Genomic DNA, 24,290 nt, shown 5'->3' on the forward strand with positions numbered 1-24,290 from the left:
CATAAGGGAAGCTCTAATTTCTACTGCTTGCTGATCTGCTGTTAGGCAGCACAGAGACGTATGTGCCTCTCAGGAAGTTCCCTGCTCGACCTTGGCCAGCTCCTCCTGGGGTAGGTACAAGCAAGGGAGCTGAGAAAACATGCAGATGAAGTCACTGGTCTGGTGCTTGTGGTTCTTGATGAATCATTTCCTCAAGATGACTTGAGATGATAGGCAAATGCCATCCTAATATTTCCTGAACAAGGTGAGACAATGGATTTCCCAAACTCGGCTCAAATGAGTTGAAGTTCTCTTGCTTGCTGAGTGGATTTTGAGGGCAAAGGGGAGGCTGGTGGCCATGAGAGTGCAGGAGTCCCAACCTCCTCGCATCGGTGATTTCTCTGTCCAGCTGCACAGGTGGCAGGAAAGATGTGGGAGATGTTTGGACTGACTCAAGATTGGAGGTGGGCAAGGGAAGGGTAGCTGAAGGATCAGGGGACAAGGGAATGGACAGTGGGGACTGAAGTGGTTGCAACACAGGACCCCAGGGTCCAGGCTGGGAGGGGGTGGGAGTGAAAGGCAGGAGGGATCAGCTTTCGATTCTGAGGAAGAGAGTGGTCTCCAGAGACGAGGTACACAGTGGAGCAGGAAGGAGGCCCCTCCCATCCGCAGAGGCCATTCCAAACCTGGACTACTGTGCTGACGGCCCTGCATCTCCTGGTGCACTTTCATCTGTGGGACTGACCTAGTCTCTGAGATAACATTAAATAAATAAGGTATATGCTTATCAGAGCAAATTTAGAAAAGACTGAACAAGAAAAGGGAATAGAGATTACCAAGCATCCTGAGTTTTCCCATCTAGTGTAACGTTTGCTAATGCCTGTTTTACAGCGGGCAAAAATAGATAGATACGCAAATAGATGATAAGCAAAGTAAAGCTCAACTTTCTGAGCCTGTACGAACTCACCACCCCCCGCCCCCCCGCCGCCACCAACCCTCACTACTTCTTCCCTCCTGGGTCTCTGCTCTGAATTGCAGTCTCAGGCCCATCAGTCAGTCAGCCCTCTATCAATTAACTCCTCTCTCTCTCTCTCTTCCCCTCTCCTGTTTTTCTTTCCACAGCTCTTCCCTCACAGCATGTAAACATATATAAATACCTACCACATCCTAAAGTATACTCAATACTCTTACCTCCCCTGCTGCGGCCTCTCCTTCCTCCAGAGCCAAGCTTCTGCTTCCGGAGAAGCTGTCCACACTGGATCTCAATTCATTTTCCACCCACTACAGTCTGGCTAGTCACCTACCTCTCTTTGCTGCTGCTTTTTATGATCACCAGTTACCTCCTAATGCCAAATCCTATAAACATCTACCAGCCATTATCTCCCTGGACCTTTCTGCTGCCTTTAACACCATTTACGATTCTCCTGAGAACCCACATTCCTTTGGTTTCCTTCAGGTCTGCTTCTCTGGCTAACTCCGTCTCCATTCATGTGACAATCTCCACATCCCCAGTGGCTCCACTGCCGTTAGAAGGCGCACAGCTGGTTTGCATACTCTCCCCTTTAGCATGGTCTGTTCCCCACCTGCTTTCTTCCCTTTTATTCTGTAAAGACCTAAAAACTGTGCTACCATAAAAACATGACTATAGCATCAATACACAAGAATTGTTCAACATTAGACAAATGATTCAATGACATGATGGAATATTAGGAAGCCATTAAAATTCATGTTAATAGGCCAGGCATGGTGGCTCACACCTGTAATCCCAGCACTTTGGGAGGCTGAGGCAAGTGAATCACTTGAGGTCAGGAGTTCAAGGCCAGCCTGGCCAACATGGCAAAACCCCGTCTCTAATAAAAATACAAAAATTAGCCGGGTGTGGTGGCGCAGGCCTGTAATCCCAGCTACTCAGGAGGCTGAGATGAGAATCATTTGAACCCAGGAGGTGGAGGTTGCCATGAGCTGACATCGCGCCACTACACTCCAGCCTAGGTGACAGAATGAGACCCTGGCTCAAAAAAAAAATTTTTTTCATGTTAATATTTATGATACAATATCAAGTATAATATAGGAGAATGCAGAATTGCTTAAACAATAAGCTCTCAACTATATAAAGAGAAAAAAATCATAGATAAGACTACAAAGAAATAGGCCCAAGTGTGAATGGTACCTCCAGAGTGGTCTTTTTCCCTCCCTCTTTCATAATCTTTTTCTGTACTATTTCTATAAGGAGCTTTGATATAAGGATACTTACTTTAATAATAAAACAAACTAAAGAACAGAAAGACTAACAACAATGATGTTCTCAGTTTAGAATTAAGGAATATAAAACTGGGATCACAGTTCCCTAATTTTCACATCTTCTCTGTTCATACATCTGTGTAATTCTTTAGTTTGCCAAGTACCTTCATGCACAGAACTTAGGTTTTCCTCAACAACTCGGAAGCATGCCAAGGCAATGGCATTAAACTCCGCAGATGAGGGAACAAGGCTCAGGGAGGTCGGGTGTCCTTGGCAAGGTCACCTGATGGGTAAGTACGACAGCCCAGGACTAGAATCCATGTTGTTTCCTGTAGTTGTAACAAATTAAGACAAATTTAGTGGCCTAAAAAAATAGCCATTATCTCACAATTCTGTAGATGAGAAGTCCAACGCTGGTCTCATTGGACTAATGCATTCCTTCTGGAGACCTGGGGAGGATTCATTTCCAGCCAGGCCCACTCAGGTTAGCAGAGTTCAGTTCCATGTGGCCATCAGGACTGAAGTCCCCATCTCCTGGATGGGCCAGCCGGGGGTCTTTCTCAGCTTCCATGTTCCCTGACCCCCACATTCCATGATCCTCTTCATCTTTAAAGCCAATGACAGCAGGTCAAGTCTTCACACTCCAAGTCTTACTGCCCACCCACCTGCCCCGCCCACCCTCCTGCCTCAGCCCTCCTGCCTTCCTCTCCTGCCGTGAAGGGATCTTGTGATTACGGTGGCCCACCAGGACAATCTAGGCTAAACACCCTATTTTAAGGTCAACTGATTCGTAAACTTACTTAAATCTTAAAAGTCCTTCAAAGCAGTACAGTAAGTCGTCAAAACCTAGCATCACGGATAGGTTCTTGGTAACTGCAAATTAGAGCAAAATGATGTAAAACCAACCAACCAGAAACAGCAGGTCCTCGAATAACATCACTTCATGTTGTACCATTAGAACACTGATGAGAAAAAGAAATGGTTTTGTTACACACCTTTTCACTTTGAGTTTTGGCCAGGTGCAGTGGCTCACACCTGTAATCCCAACGCTTTGGGAGGCCTAGGTAGGAGGACCACTGGAGGCCAGGCATCAGAGACCAGCCCGGGCAGCATGACAAGACCCTGTCTCCCAAAAAAAAAAGAAAAGGAAGGAAAGAAAAGAAAAATAAAGTCACAGTTTCCAAGAACCTAATGATGATGTTAAGTAAGGACTTATTGTACCTACATTAGTGATACAAGGAATAACCAGGAGACAGGGATGGGGGTGCAGGGCATCTTTAGAATTCTGCCTACCACACGTCTTCGGATGTTTAGTTTATGTTGTCACTCCTTCTCCGTTACTCTCAAAAGTGTTATTCTCAAAATTATGTTCTTTCATCTACCTTCCTTGCTAGAATTTAGCTACTCATAAAAATGTGTAAGGAAGAGTGACCATGGTTTTTCATTTGTATCTTCTACTAAAGTAGTTCCACTAAGCAAATGGGTTTGGAAACAATTCACAAACCTATTAACATATTAATAAAATGATGTGGAGATTTTGCCTATATAAGTTTTCACCCCATAAATCAATGAGGACACTAAAACAGTCTATTAGAGGCTCTAGGTAAAATGTAAAGTAGGCTTCTATCACCATGATCTCTACAGTATTTTATTTTAAAAACCACTTACATTGAATCACTTAGCTGGTAAAAAACTCTTATTACGATACATATACTTATGTTAAGCAGTTTGTTCTTTTTCAGCTGGGTATGATATCCCAACGGCTTGTGACTATTAAACAAGGTCTATTTATGACATCAAAAACAAAAACCAGTAAACAGCTAGCATCAAAAAGTTTATTACAACTGTTTTTAAAGTCAGCTATGATCTTGACAAATATTACGGGTAAGTCTGTAGCAAGTTTCTAATTTCTGAGATACAAAAGACAATAAATACAGATTAAAATTCAGCCTACAAACAAGATTCTACATCTAATTACTGGTACCGTAGCTTAGTTTCAATATTTCAAACATATGTATAATTCTTAAGATGCTACAAAAACTCATATAATAAAGTTATTGTTCACTGACAACCAACTAACAGTTCTTCACTGACAATATACAAGTGTGCAGTGCCTTCGAGCCTTCAGGTGAGCCCCCCAAGGGCCTGCTGGTGCCGGGGACAATCAGAGACAGCGATGTGACGGCACTGGTCCTTTCTGGCAGGAGGACTGGTTTAGGAGCAGCTGCTGAAAACACTCAACAGGACAGAGAGCTGATTTCCCAACTGCCCAATAAATGATCCTATTTACTAGACAGGATTCTTGTAGAAAACAGGATTGTCGCTGTATACTTATCTGAGTGCTACACGGGACACCTTTGCCCCAACACAGTATGGCCTGCTGACGTAGATGCTTTATTTCATCACGCTAAATGTCCTCTAATGGTGAATTCTTCAATCCTTCATTCTCTTCTAGAGACATTCTTCATCGCTTTCAAGCTACATTGTCATTAAAATAAGTCTTGTGAAATTTTTGCCAAAAATAATCGTATTACTTCTTCTTAACAGAGATTAATTCTTCATTGACTAAAATTCTGTGTGGAAGTTTCAGGCCAAGCTCCTTTGTCTTGGTTTAATTCTTGGGTACAGCTGCAAGAGAGTTTAAAAAATTTTACATACTATAATAGATGTGTGGGAATATAACAAAATTTCAAGAAATAATGAGGTTAGGGGACAGATGTCATGGGAAGGAAATCAAAGTGAGAAAAGCACTCTTTGTGGTGTGTGTGGCACCTAGAGCTTTACGTTTAGCAACGTGGTCATAGCTAGACTCAGCAGGACGTTCAAAGATCACAAGGGCCCGTCAACTGTGACAACTCTACAAAGCAGCAATATAAAAACCCATGACAGTTCTAGGTATTAACTCAATCTGCACAGCTTGTTGAGCTGTAAATCGGCTCTATGTAAATCGGCTCTAACAAGGAAGGCAAACTGCTGTATGCTCTATGCTCCAGCATTTGGAGCTTCTATTAGGAAGGAAGAAAGAGACTGAATTCTTTTACCTTTATTCACAATGGACATGACATTGTGTCATGGGACTTCAGACTGTCAGAAATGAAATGCCACAGATTAAAAGTCTATAAATTTAAGGAAGATTAGGTGGAGTTTTTTGCTTTACAATTCTGTGGTTTTGTGTTTCCACAAGAGCTGTAAAGGTGAGTCCTAGTGAAGGTTGCAAGGCCTCTAGGCCTGAGCCAGGACCAAGTCAAACTGATAAATTCAACTGACACACCAAACAAAAGCAGCCCCTCTTGACAAAAGAAGAGGAAGAAAAAGGATTACTCAAAGAAAGTAGAAGCATAGGCTTTAATTACATCCCAATTAAAAAATTTAAAAATAATAAATAATTTTAAAAAGAGTCAGACTTCCAGTTAAAACTGAAAAACTGGTGGATCCATGTTACAGAAAATATTACTTTTCTATCTGAAAAAAAGACATTTAGCTAATACAATTTTCTAGACTGCTATCTGAGCCCTAACTACATATATGCACTTTCCTTTAAAAAAAAAGATCAGGAAAACAAACCAAAAAAGTGGTGTAGAGGATACTTCTAACAAGAAAAGATTTTCAAAGTACTAAGAAAATCTAAATTTAGGACTAAAATGAAAATATTCAGTCCAGTCTGTTAATTTCAGAATCTTCTAAGCGCCACACACACGAGAGAAAACACTCTCTGACCCACTGCTCCCGCACTTGGAAACATGCAATGTTCCCCGTGTCATTAACCACAGGACCTGTGTTAGAAAATTTAAATAATTCAAAAGATCTACTGTACAACTTGGTGACTATAATTAATAATGTATTATATACTTGAAAATCACTAATAGATGTTCTCACCAAAAAAATGATGACCATGTGAGATGATGCATGTATTATTTAGCTCAATTTAGCCATTTTACAAGTATACATATTTCAAATCATGTTATACACCATAAATATACACAATTTTTGCCAATTTAAAAAAAGAAAATACAAGACTCAAGTAAGCAACTAGTTCTAAGGAGGTAAAGTCTTTCCCAGATAAGAAACTATACAAAAGGGCTTATTTACCATTGATGTTTATGTTTATCAGAGAAGGAAAGTGGCTGTAGGCAAGAGACTGTACTTCTCTAGTGCTAGAGACTCTGGAGAAGCAACTGAGGGTGCTTGAAAGAGAACAGCCTTTATATTTCTACTTTCCTCTGGTCATCTGAAAGCTTTTTTTTAAGACAGGGTCACCGAGGCTGGAGTGCAGTGGCACGATCTCGGCTCACCACAACCTCTGCCTCCCAGGCTCAACCGACTCTCCTGCCTCAACCTCCCGAGTAGCTGGGATTATAGTATTTTTAGTAGAGACAGGGTTTCACCATGTTGGCCAGGCTGGTCTCAAACTCCTGACCTCAAGTGATCCTCCTGCCTCGGCCTCCCAAAGTGCTGGGATTACAGGCGTGAGCCACTATGCCGGGCCCCTGAAAGTTTTTTTTAAGGGCTGCATAGTCTAATTGTATTTGTTTTTCACTTTCAGTATTCTTTAAAGTTACGTTATGATCACCCAAATGAATACTGTCTAATCATCTATTCAAAACTTATTATGAAATGGTTATTTCATAATAAATTTTGCTGTCAGGACAGCAGCAGTCAAGGTGTATAAGTCATTTACACTGCACGTTAGACAAACAACAGTGTGGAAGGGAGAGTCAGGGAGAGATGCTGGTCAGAATCCAGGCAGTCAGGTCCCAACACTGAAGTCATTTCAAGTAATCCCATTGAAAGTAATGCCTAGGCAGTGGATCACTCACAGACAGAATCCTGTTCATCACCTAGATGCCAGAGTAGAAGCTCCATGTGGGTGGAGGCCATGTCCATCCGACACTTGATGAAAAGACCAAGAATACATCTACCATTTGCTCTCTATTAGACCTCTGAGTTATCCCCACACTAATCTTGGGAGGCAGGATTCTCCAGCCCTCCCCACGTTCCTTCTGCAGCCTGGATATCCAGATAACAGGTGCTGCAGATGGAGCTGAAGCAACGTAGAGGCCAGTGCTCACAACCTACACACCATCTTCTGTGTATCACAACTGGCTCTTCCCTTCCTCAACCCTTTCCTTACTTCCTCACCAACAGCAGATTCTGCAAGCACTTTAAACTTTTATCTCAATCTCTCGATTACCCTGATCATTTCTCTCACTCTTTCATACACCCTCCATGCCCCTTGCACACACACAACTGCTATAAGAGAACAGCTGAATCTATAAAGAGCTTACTGCAAAGCCCTGGAATCTGTTATTCTCGCTTTCTCTCCTCTGTCTGACCATACGCCAGCCTTCCCCTGAAAATACTCCAGGAGAATCTTTACATGATGACAGCAGTCCCATTGTACTACACTATAGAAGTGGTACATACGTGCTGGCATGATATTATTTTCTTGCTTTTTATGAAATATAAATCAAATAGTACAGAAAAACAAAGAATCTTGTCCTTAATGCCCTGCTGAAGCTCTCTACCAGATTTGCAAATCCTGATTTAGACAGATTAAAAATTGATTTCAGATGTCACAGGCTCAATTCCAATCATATTATCCAGTTATCTTTAGTCTGTTTATAAATGTAGGGAGGACCCCTGACCTCCAGGGCTGGCAAACAGATGTTATTGGTCATAATAAGAATCACTGAAAATGAGGCTTTAAGTCTAAGACTATCAAAATGTTTAAATTCCATGTCTTATTAACAAAGGGCAGTTTGGTGCACTGTACACATAACATACAGCAGTTTTTACAAAGCCCCTCTCTGGCACATATGAAAACACCGTAAGCGTCAGAATAACTTACTCCCAGCAAGTTACGTGGAACATATCCCTCCTTATCATTAAGGCGCGCCCACCACCATTCGATTTCATCTTCGTCTTCCCTGTGGATGATTGTCATGCAGTCTCCTTCTTTCATGGGCAGCTCATCATCATTCTGAGGTTCATAATCCCAAAGCGCATAAATGACTCCTTTATTCATTATGCCCATCTTCTCCTGAACTCCTAAAATCATGACAGTAAGATAAAGCACAGAATATACAACTTGGAGTATACCACTCTACAACTTTTAGCTATATGAAACAAAATGGGAAGAAACAGGTACAGGCTGGAATGTTAGTACTACATTAAATATACAATAAAATGTCCTGAGGTGGGGGGTAGCATGCAGTGGAAGGCAACAGTGTATTGGGAACATACAAAGGACACATTACTATATGCTATCATCTCTAAAACACCTCTAAAACCTAGCACTTTATAAGCATCTCTTAAAGGAGCTACTCAGAGTACAAAACTTTTGCAAGCTTAGGAACTAAAAAAAGAACTGTTCAAGTCTAGGATATTAAAAAAGTGAACGATATGCCTGTCCAATTTCAGCCTACTCCCAAATGTAATGACTAAGGAACTCTAGAAACATTACTTCATTCTTTACCCAAAATTCAGAGCAGACAGAGAAAAAAAGATGGAGGCACAATGGTCTCTATGAATTTCCGAATGGGGAAAGACAGAGGAAAAAATATATATAGAATATGTTAGAATGCAAAAATATGGCATTTTAGACATGATCAAAGTCTTCATATAATCAACTCTAATATAGTAAGAATCCGAATCTTAAAAGATGTCGAAATCCTCAAACTAGGAAGGGAAAAATCCTCAGAAGTCCACCTTTCACCAGAGTTAGTAACAGATTTGCAAATTAACTACACATTTAAGTTTTGCCCTTCTTCACTTATACCTTCCTATCCTAAAGGGCAATGCTAGTAAGAAATAACAATCATCAACTGGCAGGCAATAGGAAAAAAGCAGAGGAGAAGGAAAATAAGGTAATAAAGTTCTCAGCAATTCAGAATTATTATTTTCACTTTTATAATTTTTTAAAAACCAGGAAAATACTTGCTAGCTTTTGAATAGTTAGCTTTTTCAACTTATGTGAGCACTACACTATTGATTATGAAATTATTCCTGTATCAACTAATGATATAGCACACAGTATATTTCTCTCACTCTGGGAAAAACTGAAACAAGAAATTCTTCTTTTCTAGAAGAAGGCTCTGCCAATCTAAAGAGACAATTTCCAACTTTTCTTGTTTAAAGATGACATGCAAAGCATGACAGACTCACATGGTGATCAAACTTTATATAACTGTAATTTCACAAAGTTTTTAAAATGGCCACAGTGTCTGAGATGGGAATGAAGAAAGACGTAGGAGATTCTGGATATTTTAGTATACTCAAAATAACAGCTCAAGTCCCAGTTTGCAATAAATTAGGGACCAGGGTCTTGCCCAGGCTGGTATAGAATTCCTGGGCTCAGGAGATCCTCCCACTTCAGCCTCCAAAGTGCTGGGATTACAGGCATGAGCCACTGCACCCAGCCTCCAATAAATCATTAGGAATGGAGAAAAATTCTCATTACTTTGCTATTTATCAGATTAAGAGTTGTAGATTACTTTTTAAAAAATTTTTTGAGGGGACTAAAAACATGCTCAATCTTACCGGTAACTTGGGAAATGCAAACGAAAGCTACGAGGTATCATTCCAAATCCACCAAGAGTCAAAGAGAACGTGGAGTAAAAGGAACCCTCTGCTAGATGTGTATCACTGTGACCTGGCAAGTCCACTTGTAGATAAACACCAGAAGACAAGTACCAAAATGTTCACAGGGATGTTTACAGTGGAAGGAAAGGAAGGAGGGAGGGAAGGAGGGAAGGAGGGAAACAGCACACATGTCCTTCGAAAGCAGAATAAAAAGATAAACTGTGCAGTGAAAATAAACTACAGCTACAGGCAACACGAGTGAATCTCAAAAACCATGTTGAATGAGAAAAGCAGGCCACAGAATCACCAGTATGATTTTATATAAAGGGCAAAAACAAGCAAAACTGCAGATATTAGTTATAGGACTCATATACAAATGATGTAATTATTTTACAAAACAAGGAATGCTAAACGTAAAAGCGGCGGTCACTACAGACGTGAGAAGGGGCCACATCAGGGAGGGGCATCCAAACAATGTCAGGGACAGTGGTTATGTTCTGTCTCCTAAGGTGGGTACACAATTACTCACTGTGTGTAATCTACTATCATTATTACTTAAACAGCACATCCTGGTATCTATGATATACTTCATAAATTTTAAGAATCTGACCAAATATCCCTAATGTTTAAAAAAATCATATTCCATATCTAAATATAGGTCAGATGGTCAATAAAATTAATACAGCAAAACACATATTAACACATTATATATATGTGTGTGTGTGCGTGTGTGCGTGTGTGTGTGTGTGTGTGTGTGTGTATATTTTTTTTTCCCCCGAGATGGAGTCTCGCTCTGTTGCCCAGGCTGGAGTGCAGTGGCGTGATCTCAGCTCACTGCAAGTTCCTCCTCCGGGGTTCACGCCATTCTCCTGCCTCGGCCTCCCGAATAGCTGGGACTACAGGCGCCCACCACCACGCCTGTCTAATTTTTTGTATTTTTAGTAGAGACGGAGTTTCACCATGTTAGCCAGAATGGTCTCGATCTCCTGACCTCGTGATCTGCCCACGTCGGCCTCCCAAAGTGCTGGGATTATAGGCGTGAGCCACCGCGCCCGGCTTTTTTTGTGAGACAAAGTTTCACTCTTGTTGCCCAGGCTGGAGTGCAATGGCATGGTCTCAGCTCACTGCAACCTCCGCCTCCGGGTTCAAACAGTTCTCCTGCCTCGGCCTCCCAAGTAGCTGGGATTACAGGTGCCCGCCACCACAGCTGGCTAATTTTTGTATTTTTAGTACAGATGGAGTTTCACCATGTTGGCCAGGCTGGTCTCGAACTTCTGACCTCAAGAGATCCACCTGCCTCGGCCTCCCAAAGTGTTGGGATTACAGGCATGAGCCACCACACCCGGCCAACACATTATACCGGTTAACACATTATATTAACGCCCATAACTTCAGCACTTTGGAAGGCCAAGGTGGGAGGATTGCTTGAGCCTAGGAGTTCAGGGTTGTAGTGAGCTATGATCACACCACTGCATTCCAACCTAAGTAACAGAGCAAGATTGTCTCAAAAACAAAATACATACATAAATATATAAAATTTATATTTATATATATAAATTTTTAAATATGTTACTATATCAAAATATTCTATGGTCCAGAGTTTAAAACATAAACAAAGGCTGGGCATGGTGGCTCACACCTGTAATCTCAGCTCTGGGAGGCTGAGACAAGAGGATTCTCTGAGGCCAGGAGTTTGAGACTAGCCTGGGCAACAGACTGAGGCCCCAACTCCAAACGAAATTTAAAAGGTCAGGCATGGTGGCTCACACCTGTAATGCCAGCACTTTGGGAGGCCAAGACAGGCAGATTGCCTAAGCTCACGAGTTTGAGAACCAGCCTGGACAACATGGCAAAATTCCATCTCTACTAAAAATACAAAAACTAGCTGGGTGTGGTAGTACATGCCTGTAGTCCCAGTTACTCTGGAGGCTGAGGTGGAAGGATCACCTGAGCCCTGGCAGTCAAGGCTGCAGTGAGCTGTGATTGTGCCACTGCACTCCAACCTGAGTGACAGAGCAAGACCCTACCTCAAAAATAAATAAATAAATAAATAAATAGATAATAATTAAAAATTAGCCAGGTGTGGTGGCAGGTGCCTGTGGTCCCAGCTATTTGAAAGACTGAGGCAGAAGGGTCACCTGAGCCTGGGAGTTTGGGGCTACAGTGGGCAATGACCATGCCACTGCACTCCAGCCTGGGTGACAGAGTGAGACCTCGCCTCTAAAAAAATAAAATAATCACAAATATCAGCAATTAAAAACTACCAGCTGAGAGAGATGAAGAAGGGAACTCCAGGTTTGTGGTTCTCTGACCCCTCTCTCTTCATACCTAGGGCCTGAAAAAAGGCCTAGAGACAGAGGGAAAAGTTCAGCAGAGAGGGCAGAGGCGTCTGTTTTACCCTTAGGGGTCTTCCAATCAACTGGGAAAGGAGTTACTGAAAACTTGAGCAGTATGGAGTTCTGGGACCTCCTCATTTGTCTCTGTCTTCCCTCCTTCTTTAATTCCTCTCAAGCCCAACTAAAGAGGAAAATTTACCTCAACTTCTAAGCCTTGTAAACAAAAAAAATTTTCCTTGTATATACAAATGCCAATCAACATATATCTATCTAAAACTTCAAGTCCATTTTCCTCTAGGTACAGATCTGATGTTAGCAATCAGAATCATAAACTCAAAATCAAGAAAACAAAAGAGAAAAAAATAAAAGACAGCTCCAAAATATATGTTGCCTTTATTTCACTTTATGACAAGTTTGATTTTTAGGAAAACTTGGACCATTTGGGTTCTTAAACTGATCCTTCACTTCTCTTGATCATGTTGTTAGGAGAGGGGGGTCTGTTTACTTATTTGCAAGGATACACCATCAATCTATAAGTACTAAAGCCTTAATAGAGGGTCTTTTGATGGTCAAAGTCATTAACACCACTAGGTCAGATGCTGCAACACTGTCTTTTGTAATTGAAGAAGTCCCTGACAATAGCTGTTTCTAAGCATACAAACAGAAGCTGTATTATCTGTGACCAAGGCTGTTGTATTTTCAAGGCCCAAGACTATGGATAACACAAGATTTTTTCCAAACAAAAATACTTATTGAATTATACCCTGGAGATACAGAATAAATGAATGCAGTAATCAATACATTTAGTTCTACTTGTCACATACCATAAAGAAATTGGGAGCACTGAGTGTAGCCTTCCTCCATTTCCTCGCACTTATCTGCAGCAGTCTGCATGTCACTGTAGGTCATGGCAAACACAGCGGCTCCTGACTCCACCAAAAACTTACACACTTGGACGTTGTTACATGAGGCAGCACAATGTAATGGAGTCCTGTGAAGCAAGATACGAGGGCTAGAACTGTTTTCCTAAACTGAATGACACCTGCTGATAAGATATCTGGAAAGAAAGTTCTTGAGTCTCTCATCTACCAAGTTTTCTTCTGAAAACCTCTTAAACAGTTTTTTAAAAACCAGTTCAACACAGATGATTGAACCCATCAAAGAATTACAGCCACAAATGAAAATTTCAGAGAGTCATGGACCACAATGGGGCTGGGAGCTTAGCAAAGGGTGAGAAGAATCAAGGACGTGAATAAACAGAAATGAAATGTGTATAAACATTTAAGAAAAACAATATTAACATGGATTTAGTTCTATGTCCTGGAGCATCCAGCCTAATTCTTTCAGAGTAGAAGCCCTAACAGTCCTTAAGTTATTTAAGTTATACACCTTCACTCAAAACACTGGCCTTTAAATATCTATTTATCGTCATCAATTTTGAAGGAATTAAGTTGCATAGATGAACTACTTTTATATTTTTTAAATCCCAAGTTAAAACAAATTTTAATTGAAAAAATTTGTCAAATCAATTGAGACCAGAAAAGTGACTGTAAAATACACATATTTCAACTATAGGTAACTGGTCAGCAGGAATTTATTAATACCATTAAAGAGAACTCCAGCATCTCAAATGTTTTATAATAGATTATAAATGACCCTAGAGTAATGGTAAAGGTACAAGAGCCAGTACCACTGTCCAAACTCAGAAGTTGAGTGTGAAAATGTTAATCAGGCTCTAAAGTACATAAGATTTAGTTTCTTTACTCTTTCCTCTCCCCTTTATTCTCCTTGGGTATACAGACTTGAAAAAAAAATTTAGACCAGGCGCAGTGGCTCCCAGCACTTTGGGAGGCCGAGGCGGGCAGATCACCTGAGGTCAGGAGTTTGAGACCAGCCTGGCCAACATGGTAAAACCCCAACTCTACTAAAAATACAAAAATTAGCCGGGTGTGTAATCCCAGCTACTGGGGAGGCTGAGGCATGAGAATCACCTGAACAGGAGGTGGAGGTTGCAGTGAGCCAAGATCACACCAGTGCACTCCAGGGTGACACAGCAAGACTCTGTCTCAAAAAAATTTTTATTTTTTTTTTGGCCAGGCGCAGTGACTCACACCTGTAATCCTGGCACTCTGAGAGGCCAAGGAGGGCAGATCACTTGAGTTCAAGGGTTCAAGACCAGCCTGGGCAACACAGCAAAACCCCATCTCTACTAAAAATACAAAAAAATAGCCAGGTGTGGTGGCACACATCTGTGGTCCTAGCTACTTGGGAGGCTGAGACGGGAGGCTGCTTCAGCCCAGAGGGCAGAAGTTACAGTGAGCCAAGATTGTGCCACTGCACTCCGGCCTGGGTGACAGAATAAGACCCTGACTCAAAAAAAACAAAAAAAGAAAAAAAATTTTTTTAAATTCCCCATTCCAGATCACTTTTTTTTTTTTTTTTTGAGGATCTTGCTCTGTCACCCAGACTGGAGTACAGCAATGCAATCTCAGCTCACTGCAGTCTTGACCTCCAGGCTCCAGCAATCCTCCCACCTCAGCCTCCCCGGTAGCTGGGACTACAGGCACACACCAGCGCACCTAGCTAATTTTTAAAAATTTTTTATAGAGACAGGGTCTCTCTCTGTTGCCCAGGCTGATCTCAAACTCCTGGGCTCAAGTGATCTTCTGCTTCAACATCCCAAAGTGCTAGGATTACAGGTATTAGCCACCATGCCTGGCCAGAACACTATTATTAAATAGTTTGGCAAATATTACTATAGATTTTTTCACTGCATGCTTTTTAATAATGAAAAATTATATACAACATAAACTCCCAACATTAGGAAAACAAGGGCATTATGACACAGTAAGAATTTGTTTTCTTTATGCTATAATGTGAAACTAAAAATATAGGCTTAAAACATTACATATGTATTAGGAGCTTAACTATATTTGTGAAAAGCATATGAAAAAGAGCTTGGGCCAAGTACGGTGGCTCATACCTATAAACCCACCACTTTGAAAGGCTCGGGCAGGAGGATCACTTGAGTCCAGGAGTTCGAGACCAACCTGGGCAACACAGTGAGACCCTGTCTCTACAAAAATAAAAATAAAAATAAAAAATAATTTTTTTTTAAAAAGAGCCTGAAGAAAATATATTAAAATATGAATGGTGTTTACCTGTACACTGTGGGGATACAGATGGCTTGTTTTCCCCTTATTTCTATTTTGCATGTTTCCCACAGTAGACACACATTAAAATATAAGTGTTTAAAAATTGTAACCAAAGTGCTTCTCCAAGCATTAAAACAAAAGTTGGAAAACAATCTCAATGTCTAATAAAAGGGAGACCGTCACAATAAATGAGTACACAGTCACGCGGTAGAGTAATACGAGGCTAACTGAAATGTATGTATGTGTGTATGCAATTTATATATGCATACATGAGAATTTTATATGGTAACTATTTTCCATATTATGAGAAAAACAAGTTGTGAAACTAAAATACTGGAGTAAATATAGTGTGATTACAACTTTTTAAAATCCTATAAAGAAAAAAGTCAATTGTTTGTATTCTTCCACAAAAGTAACACAATGTAACTTAAAACTTTCTTTTTTAAAAATAACATACAAAATTTGCTGTCTATTCTGTTAGTTTTGGGGATGACAGGACCTTATTAGGACCTTTATTATTATTATTTAATATTGACTAACATTTCCCCTATCCTGCAAACAATACTCATCACTTGCAGTACCGCTTGCGTTTTACGTACACCCTGGTTCCACGAAAAATGGATTCCATGGTCAAATATATTTAGGATATGTTGCAAGTTATAATCCCCTCTTGGAGATATAGAATGGACATTAATATATTGAAGACTGAACCATTTCAGGGGCTTAGGGATACCTTGCCTAAATCAGCACTTCTCTCTTAAGCTTTGCTTAAGGATGCTAATTAACTGTGTACTACTTTGTTACACTTATTTTTATCATTAACTACTAAACTTTTTAAAACTCCACCTACTTCCAGGATGGGAATGAGATGACTGTTACATGAACACATGTTAATTCCTCAAAAATAGATACCACATTTCTCCAGCTAGATTACAAGCAGCTCAAGGACATAACTGACATACTTCTTTGTCTTCCAACAGCACTATGACAACTGCTTATAAACCGATTCCCACAACTGAAGTTTGACTGGAGTTTAAAAGAAAATCTTACCATCCATCACTATCAGCAGCATTTACATTTACACCAAACTGTACCAGGAACTTAACGATTTCTGTGTGGCCTGCACACACAGCATTGTGAAGAGCCGTGATGCCTTCATCATTGGGGAGGCTTGGGTCATCAACCTATATCAAGAAGAAGGGTGAGCATCACTCTAGTTTCTTGTCACCTGAACTGTCACTACTAACTGGCTCCTTTAGGGTCAAGAGGACAGAAATGGACTCTTGTGACACTTTTAAAAATCATAATTAAAACCTATAGGAGCCAAGAAAACTATACCAAGAACAATTCTAGAAATAAGACAGACAGAAAAACCACATTAAGTAGGCAGTCACTATAAAAAGGTTTTTTTTAAAAAAAGGAAGTACCAGAAACTATATCCTTATAGTCATTTTTGTTTATTTATCCTCCCAGCTTCTCACCACAAATTAGTTTCTAAGTAGAAGTTGCATTTGCTATGGAAAGCAAAAAAAAAAAAAGGTCAACTAAAAATATTTTAAATAGTAGGCTTCTAAAAGTAGAGACCGCATCTCTAACCTAATACAGTATAGTACAAATCCATACATGAACAATTTCTAAAGGGGAGTAATGATCTCTCTTAAGAAAGAAAAGTACTCTAGAGGACTCCAAGTGAAAACCGAACTTCCAAATGATGACAATTCCATAGTCATACCTTTAAAACAGCATAGCCTATTCTAAAGCGTGCCCAAGAGTTCCTGAACACAACCCCACAATGCCTAAAAGGAAAACAATTTTAAAATACAATTTCTCTACAGTCGCTTTCTAATTAGAGCTTTAAAACAAAATACAAGGTCATATTTTAAAAATTTACTAATTATACTCTAGCCTGGATGACAGAGCGAGACTCTGACTCAAAAAAAAAAATTTACTAATTATAATCATACCTCATAAATAATTCTCTGTACAAGGTCAAATTCTCCCTCCAAAGACGAATCTAGCAGTAAAGCAAGGGGGTTGAATTTCACCCTCATTCCATGAGCGATACGCTCTGAGCCAGTTTTACGCAAGTTTGTCCTTTTACCCTGCAAAGAAAATGGGTGGAAAATTTAGGATCCTCGTCTATGCAAGAGAACAACAGCAGCAAATGGGAAGGAATGACTTCTCACCTAAATTAGTGAGAGGCACTTTAACAATATAGATTTGGCACATTTTATTGAAGTATAACATTATTCAGAAAAGTATACGAATCTGACATGCAGCGTAATGAACTTTCACAAAGTGAACAAATACCATGGAGCAAAGTTGGAGGAACATAACTTTATAAAATCTAACATAATTACGTTTGGGTTATATGTTATAGTATGAATTAAACTAAGAGTATAATCAGAAGTGGCAAATAGGCTAGCGTTCTGTCAAGTATCAGAATTAGCCAAGACTGGTCTTTAGACTGCCTATCTAATACAGTACAGCAAACTCCACTCTCTTAAAGTGAGCAACAGCACAGCCCACAACTACAACAGCTAACCTATATTGAATGATTATTCATTAACCCTCACAAAAACCCTATGATCCCTAGTTTACAGATAAGGAAACCAAGGCACACAGCCGGCAAATGGCAGAGCTGGGACGCAAATCCAGGTAAGCTGGCTTCTTTAAAGTCTGCCATCTTAACCATTTCACACCAGAATGCCTCCTCGGGGGAAAGCATATAATTAAGGTAAATAATACAGATTATTAGTCTGTCTTAGGTATAACAAGGATAAATCCTACCAGCTTAAACTTTTAATGAATCGGACTTAAAAAAAAAAAGGCAAAATTTTAAAGACTAGATCCAGTATCCTGTAAAACAGGTTTCTTAAACACACCCAACAAAGTAGAGACGTTTACTGTTGTGAGGTGTGATATATGTACTCCACATAATTCTTTCATTTTATCTCAGATGTGGAAAATTGCCAAGTTTTAAAAAACATTAAGCGACAATACATTTCACAATGTGCAATGACTAAAATGTTGCTCTCTGAATGTTATCTGACTGTGGTTAATACAAGTCATAAGCAGTACAGTGTAATGACACTTGCCGATCCCACTGTTAAAGAATGTACGAGATAGTTGCTTCTATTTTACTTAAATCGAGAAGGAAAAGGTAAGACACCTTCCTAGGAAGAGAACAGCAGAATCTTAAAAAGAAAGTATAATACTTTTACCAATTCTAGTTTTCCTTTTTTCTCCTTGAAAATGTGGATTATTTTGACACAGCAACAAAAAGGCCAGAAAATAACAAGTGGCTGTAACGTGGATTGGTTTTGGCCAATGTGGAATAAAACGTCCTTCTTTTCTTATGTTTAAAACTCAAAGAGAATCAAGCCTCAGAACTTACGAGGCACAGGGTTGTTTAAAAACTGTTAACCTCTATTTTAAAACTTTTTTTTCTAGCTTCAAATGTTTAGTACATAAAACTTTTAAGCAAACATTTACTGTAACCAATTGTTAAAAATAACTGTGGACAATTATTATCTTTGAATACTATCATATCTAAAAGATAATAAGGAATCAAACATGCAAAGTACATTTAAAAAAATTCTTTTAATGCTATTTTGCTTTTCACCAGGTTTTAAATTCATAGTTCAGCATCCTACTTCCTTCCGTGCTTACTGAAGCAAAGTGGCTTCAAATTAAACTATGAAAAAGCAGACTTCATTCAGACATTCTGGGATTTTTATTTTCTCTCACCTATGTCAAAGTGAGAGGATGGAAGCTTAAATTTCAAACAAAAGCTTACTATCTGGAAGGAGTGTAGAAGGTGCACTCAAGCCAAAACATACAAAATCTTAGAATAACTTTCGTATGTTAAAGTACAAAGAAATCTTAGGGATCACCATATTAGCCAGAGATTTTCAGACTTCGTTGAAGGGGAGGAAGAGGCTGAAGAGGGGCCCCTCAGCCCAGTTACCCCTCCCTGCCCTCACTCCATCCAGAACCCTTCCAATTTTACCACTGTTGTAAGTTTGAGGTTTCACCTAACATTTCATTTTTTAAAATTTCACTGCTAGAAAATTTTTAAAAAGATTGACATCATCAATGAGAGAAGTTATACCATCTGCCTGATTTCACACAGCTAAGCTAGTAATCAAAAGTTTCAAACCCAGGTCTTTTGAGTCCCAGTCGGGTGCTGCTTCCCTAATATGTCACATCAGCTAGAGAAGAAACAGCAAATGCAGTGTTTATAGGGATAAGAACAAAACTCTGTTTCTTTCACAAATAAATGGGTTCTCTCTAAAACAGAAAAATGTTCTTTATATTGAATAAACTGCATTATGAAAACATTTATAAGATCCACTCTGTGCCAAGGGAATCGTAAAATAAAAATGCAAACTGGAGAAGATGAATGTGACCACCAAGAAAATCGTAACAAAGTAAAGGACTCCGGAAAAGGCTATGAGATAGTACATTACTTACAGGAGGCAGAGAGACCTGCCCGGTGATTTCAGGCGGGCGCATGCTCACCGAGTCTTCTCCGGGCCCTTCAGGCTCCCCAGATGGGTATGGTGGGGGTGGGTATGGAGGGTACTCCTCCAGGTACACATCAAGCACATGTGGAGCCTCTGGATTTGGTTCTTCTGGGTTATTCTGGAGATTTGGGCTGTTGTCTGGGACTCCCTCAGGCTCATAATCAAGGCCTGGAGAAGGAGCTGGCATGTCACTGTTCTCTGTACTGGCATTCCCCACATCCTCTGGGGACAATGATTCAGGAACCAGAGAGACCACCTCCTTTTCGGGCTCCACATGTAAATATGGATTCTGGATTTCTACTGGGCTTTCTGAGCTGGCAGTCACAGAAGCTGACTTGGATGGGTATGATGGGACAGAGATGGTCTCCATGGCCGCTATGGTGGTCCTCTGATATAAAAGCTTCTGAATATTTGGCCCATTAGGACCCTCTGGCTCTGTAATAGAACTACGTTTCTTTAGAGGCCTTGGTGCGTTAGACAGTTTCTTTCGTAAGGCTTCTAGGTCAGCATCACTCTGGTTTCGGTAAGGATTAGATAAGAAAGGCAGTAATTTAGTTGGGCTGAGTGGCCGAGGAATTCTTTCGTTTTCATGGTTCTCCTGAACTGAAGAAACAGGCTCTGTTTCAGGTTCTGGACTGCCAGGCTTGCCCTGGCTATTGGAATAAATGTTCTCTGGGTGCTGCTGTTGATTCTGGGCAGCAGCAATTACAGGCTTACCATATACTAATTGGAAAAGGAAAAAAAAAAGCCCTCATTAGCATTAATTAAACAAAACTGGCAAGAAACAGAAACAGCTAACAATAACTAAAGCCTCTTTTAATTTCATAGTTGTTACTACATAATCCCCTTCAAATATAATTAATTTTTAAAAATAAATGACAAAGCAGGGAATCCATCTTTGCATAATAAACTTATTACAGAATCAAAACCCCCACTGATTGTAACATGCACCATATCTCATGAAACAATAAGAAAATGTTGCCGTTTTAAGAAATCACTGTAGCATCCAAATTTAAAATAACAAAATGTGAAAAACATTTAGATGCAATGAAAACAGATAATCCTCATGTGTCCAGATTAAAACTAAACATGTACTATCCCATCTTTCACTTTTCAAAAGTGAATCAACGTGAGAACTTCTATTTGGCTTATAAAATTATTAAGAACCACTTATAGTTACCAAAGATATTCCCTGTTAACATTCTGATTATATTAAAATTATCTAATTCCCAAATTATTCCATTTTCACTAAAGACCCATGAAAAGAAGAGTAAGAGGTAGCATATATACTGATTCTTTGCTAATTTTAATTATGGCATCTTAGGTCACAATTACATGGTTATTTCATGACTACAAAGCTATTTTCATTCAATTAAAACATGGTAAGTTTTATTCTAGTCCTATGAAGTAATAATTTAGAAAGAACCCAACAAATTTCCAAACTGTGTATGTTTAATACAAGCTAACCTTCTGTTTTTACATTTAGCTAGCGGCTATGTCCCCATTACAATGACTTAAAATACAGTAGAGAATATATATATATATGTACGTATGTATGTTTTTTTTTTTAGATGGAGTTTCACTCTTGTTGCCCAGGCTGGAGTGCACCATCTCGGCTCACTGCAACCTCCGCCTCCCAGGTTCAAGCAATTCTCCTGCCTCAGTCTCCTGAGTAGCTGGGATTACAGGCATGTACCACCACGTCCAGCTAATTTTGTATTTTGGTAGAGGTGGGGCTTCTCCATGTTGGTCAGGCTGGTCTCGAACTCCCAACCTCAGGTGACCCGCCCACCTTGGCCTCCCAAAGTGCTGGGATTACAGGCGTGAGCCACTGCGCCCAGCCACAGTTATATATAAAGACATATAGACACAGACACACACATACAGAGACACACATATATATATGTGTGTGATGTGTGTGTGTGTATATATATCTATATATACATGTCTACGTATATATGTCTCTCTATATGTATATACACACACACACACAGACAGGGGCAGTGGTCCAGTCCTCTATATGACAAGAACATCTGGTCAACCTACAGTGAAGACACACACCTTCCTTCTGCACTGTAATGACCCATTATATTTGGTTCTCCCTCACCGATAAGCCCCTCCAGACTTGAGACCACACTTTATTCATCTATTATCTTTAGTGCCTACTACTGTAGGAGCAGACATTTAGCAAGCACTCTTTTAAACTCCCAGTAAAGAACAGAAGCCACAGTTAAAAACCCTTAGCGTCAGTCAAAATAGGGATTAGTTATTTTGCTGTCTGCTGAGGGATGGCTTAAGTTCTGGTATAGAACTTAAGCACGTCACCTATGAACGTTAAGAACCTTACCACTTGAAAAGTGTGGCCCTCTGGTATGAGTCTTGGTCAACGCGCTCTGCACAGCCTGCTGGAAGTTTTTTCCTGGCGCCTGCTGTTGCGTATACATGGAATATATTGAACTTGCTGCCACGGTCTGGGGTTTTCTGAAGGGTGGAAGTAAGGTGTCTTTGGAAGGCTGGGGAGTAAAGGGCCGGACGGCAGCAGCAGGTGGACTTTCTTGCTTAGAACCTGGAGAAAGGGTCTGGTCTTGGCCAACCGAAGGTATGCTGGGAGATAGCAGCACTCTCGGCTGCTGCCCTGCTGGTTTTGGTTTAGTTCCCATGGACGGAACAACTGTTGACAACTGCTGAGAACTTCCGTCTGGCTTAATGTCTGAAGGTGGCTGATTAGTTTGTCCAAAATAAGGCAAATTAATCTGTTTTGGTTTTGTAGGAACAGGAGGTGGTACTTTAGCCACATTTTTATTTGCAACCTATAACACACACATAAAAAGCCAGTTAAAATACTATATAACTGGGTACACAGGATGTTCTAGATAACCTAATTTCACAAATGTAAATATACACTATAAAAATATTAGCTCTGGCCGGGTGCAGGGGCTCACACCTGTAATCCCAGCACTTTGGGAGGCCAAAGCAGGCGGATCACGAGGTCAAGAGTTCGAGACCAGCCTGGCCAATATGGTGAAACCCCGTCTCTACTAAAAAAATACAAAAATCAGCCAGGCATGGTGGCGGGCGCCTGTAGTCCCAACTACTCAGGAGGCTGAGGCAGAAGAATCTCTTGAATCCAGGAGGTGGAGGTTGTAGTGAGCTAAGATTGCACCACTGCGTTCCAGCCTGGGCAACAGAACAAGACTCCATCTCGGAAAATATATCTATATAAGCTCATATTTTTTAATTGTTAATTAGCTTTTGTTTTGTTTTATGTACTTATTTATTTTTATATAGACAGGGTCTCGTTTTGTTGCCCAGGCTGGTCTCGAACTCCTAGTCTCAAGTGATCCTCCCACCTCAGCTTCCCAAAGTGCTGGGATTACAGGTGTGAGCCACCACACCTGGCTGTTAACTAGTTTTAAATTTCTGTATTTACTCACATTTAATAATGGTTTTCATTAATGCAATACAATCTCTTCCCTTTATGACTTCCTCCTTGTTTCCACTTCCTATCTGGGCAATTTTAATACATTTAAGTGCCCACTTGAAAACTTTTACTGTCATCTTTCATATTCAGATGGCATCAATAATGGGAAACCATTCTTGTTCACTGGAATTTCATGCAATCTAGACAACTGTAATAAAACACACCTAACTTGGAGCACTCACACATAACCTGGTTATCAAGGATTAAGACTGTAACAGTTACAGAAAATTCACCACACAAGCATTTTGTAACTTTGAAGAAATAAGATACTTGAACAATACAAATACAGTGTTCTTCGATGCACTTATACTTTTTAGAGAATCACATGAAATATGACCCAAAACAAGCATGTCAGCCATTCTCCCACCGGGTGTGAGAGCACAAACAGACTCACGCAAGAGAAATTAAAATAACAGAATGCTAATGTATTTTCTAATCTCCTAGGTACATCCTGTTTCTTCTGCTCTCCCTCACACAATACTTTATCCCTTCTAAAAACTGCATTATAGAATTACTATTAAATTTTAAAAACCAGGATATTTGTAGGTACCTGAGCATCCCGCAAGATATCTTCACTGCTCTGGTTCTTCCTCAGAGTACCAAAGGAAGGTGGGGCATTGGACTGGTCTACTGCATCAAACATTGAGAACGGACGCACTTTCTTCTCTTTCTCCCTCAGCGGAACCTCTCCATCATCAACTAAAGACAAAAAAATCACAATGACATTCAAACTGTTTAGAATAAAGTATCTCATTCACTCGTAAGTTTCTCTCCCCTAAATCTCCCTGAAAATCTGTGTCCACAAAGCACGTTCCTATTTTTTAATTAAACTAATAAAAGGATAACCCAAGCACTATAATGATCGTACCTGAGTTCTCCAGCTAAATTAAGGTGTTCTGGAAATAAATATTGTTAAATATTGTCCCTATTGTTAACACACTAGAAAATGATTTATCAGGCGGGTGCAGTGGCTCACGCCTGTAATCCA

At 40.0% G+C, this 24,290-nt stretch overlaps 1 protein-coding gene across 5 annotated transcripts in view; it reads right to left on the reverse strand.

The window, feature by feature from the left end:
* The window catches only part of TP53BP2 (tumor protein p53 binding protein 2), a 66,055-nt gene continuing 45,611 nt past the window's right edge, over positions 3,847 to 24,290 (reverse strand). For all 5 annotated transcript variants that reach the window (XM_011544268.3, NM_001031685.3, NM_005426.3 and 2 more), the window contains 8 exons: positions 23,853 to 24,001; positions 22,169 to 22,631; positions 19,769 to 20,544; positions 17,257 to 17,394; positions 16,343 to 16,476; positions 12,962 to 13,128; positions 8,069 to 8,268; positions 3,847 to 4,848 (listed from right to left, as the gene is read on the reverse strand). In XM_011544268.3, the coding sequence (XP_011542570.1) occupies positions 4,807 to 4,848; positions 8,069 to 8,268; positions 12,962 to 13,128; positions 16,343 to 16,476; positions 17,257 to 17,394; positions 19,769 to 20,544; positions 22,169 to 22,631; positions 23,853 to 24,001 (2,069 nt within the window). In that variant the 3' untranslated portion in view covers positions 3,847 to 4,806. The remainder of the gene's footprint in view (positions 4,849 to 8,068; positions 8,269 to 12,961; positions 13,129 to 16,342; positions 16,477 to 17,256; positions 17,395 to 19,768; positions 20,545 to 22,168; positions 22,632 to 23,852; positions 24,002 to 24,290) is intronic.

This window comes from Homo sapiens, chromosome 1, assembly GCF_000001405.40.
Source record: "Homo sapiens chromosome 1, GRCh38.p14 Primary Assembly".
Taxonomy (NCBI): domain Eukaryota; kingdom Metazoa; phylum Chordata; class Mammalia; order Primates; family Hominidae; genus Homo; species Homo sapiens.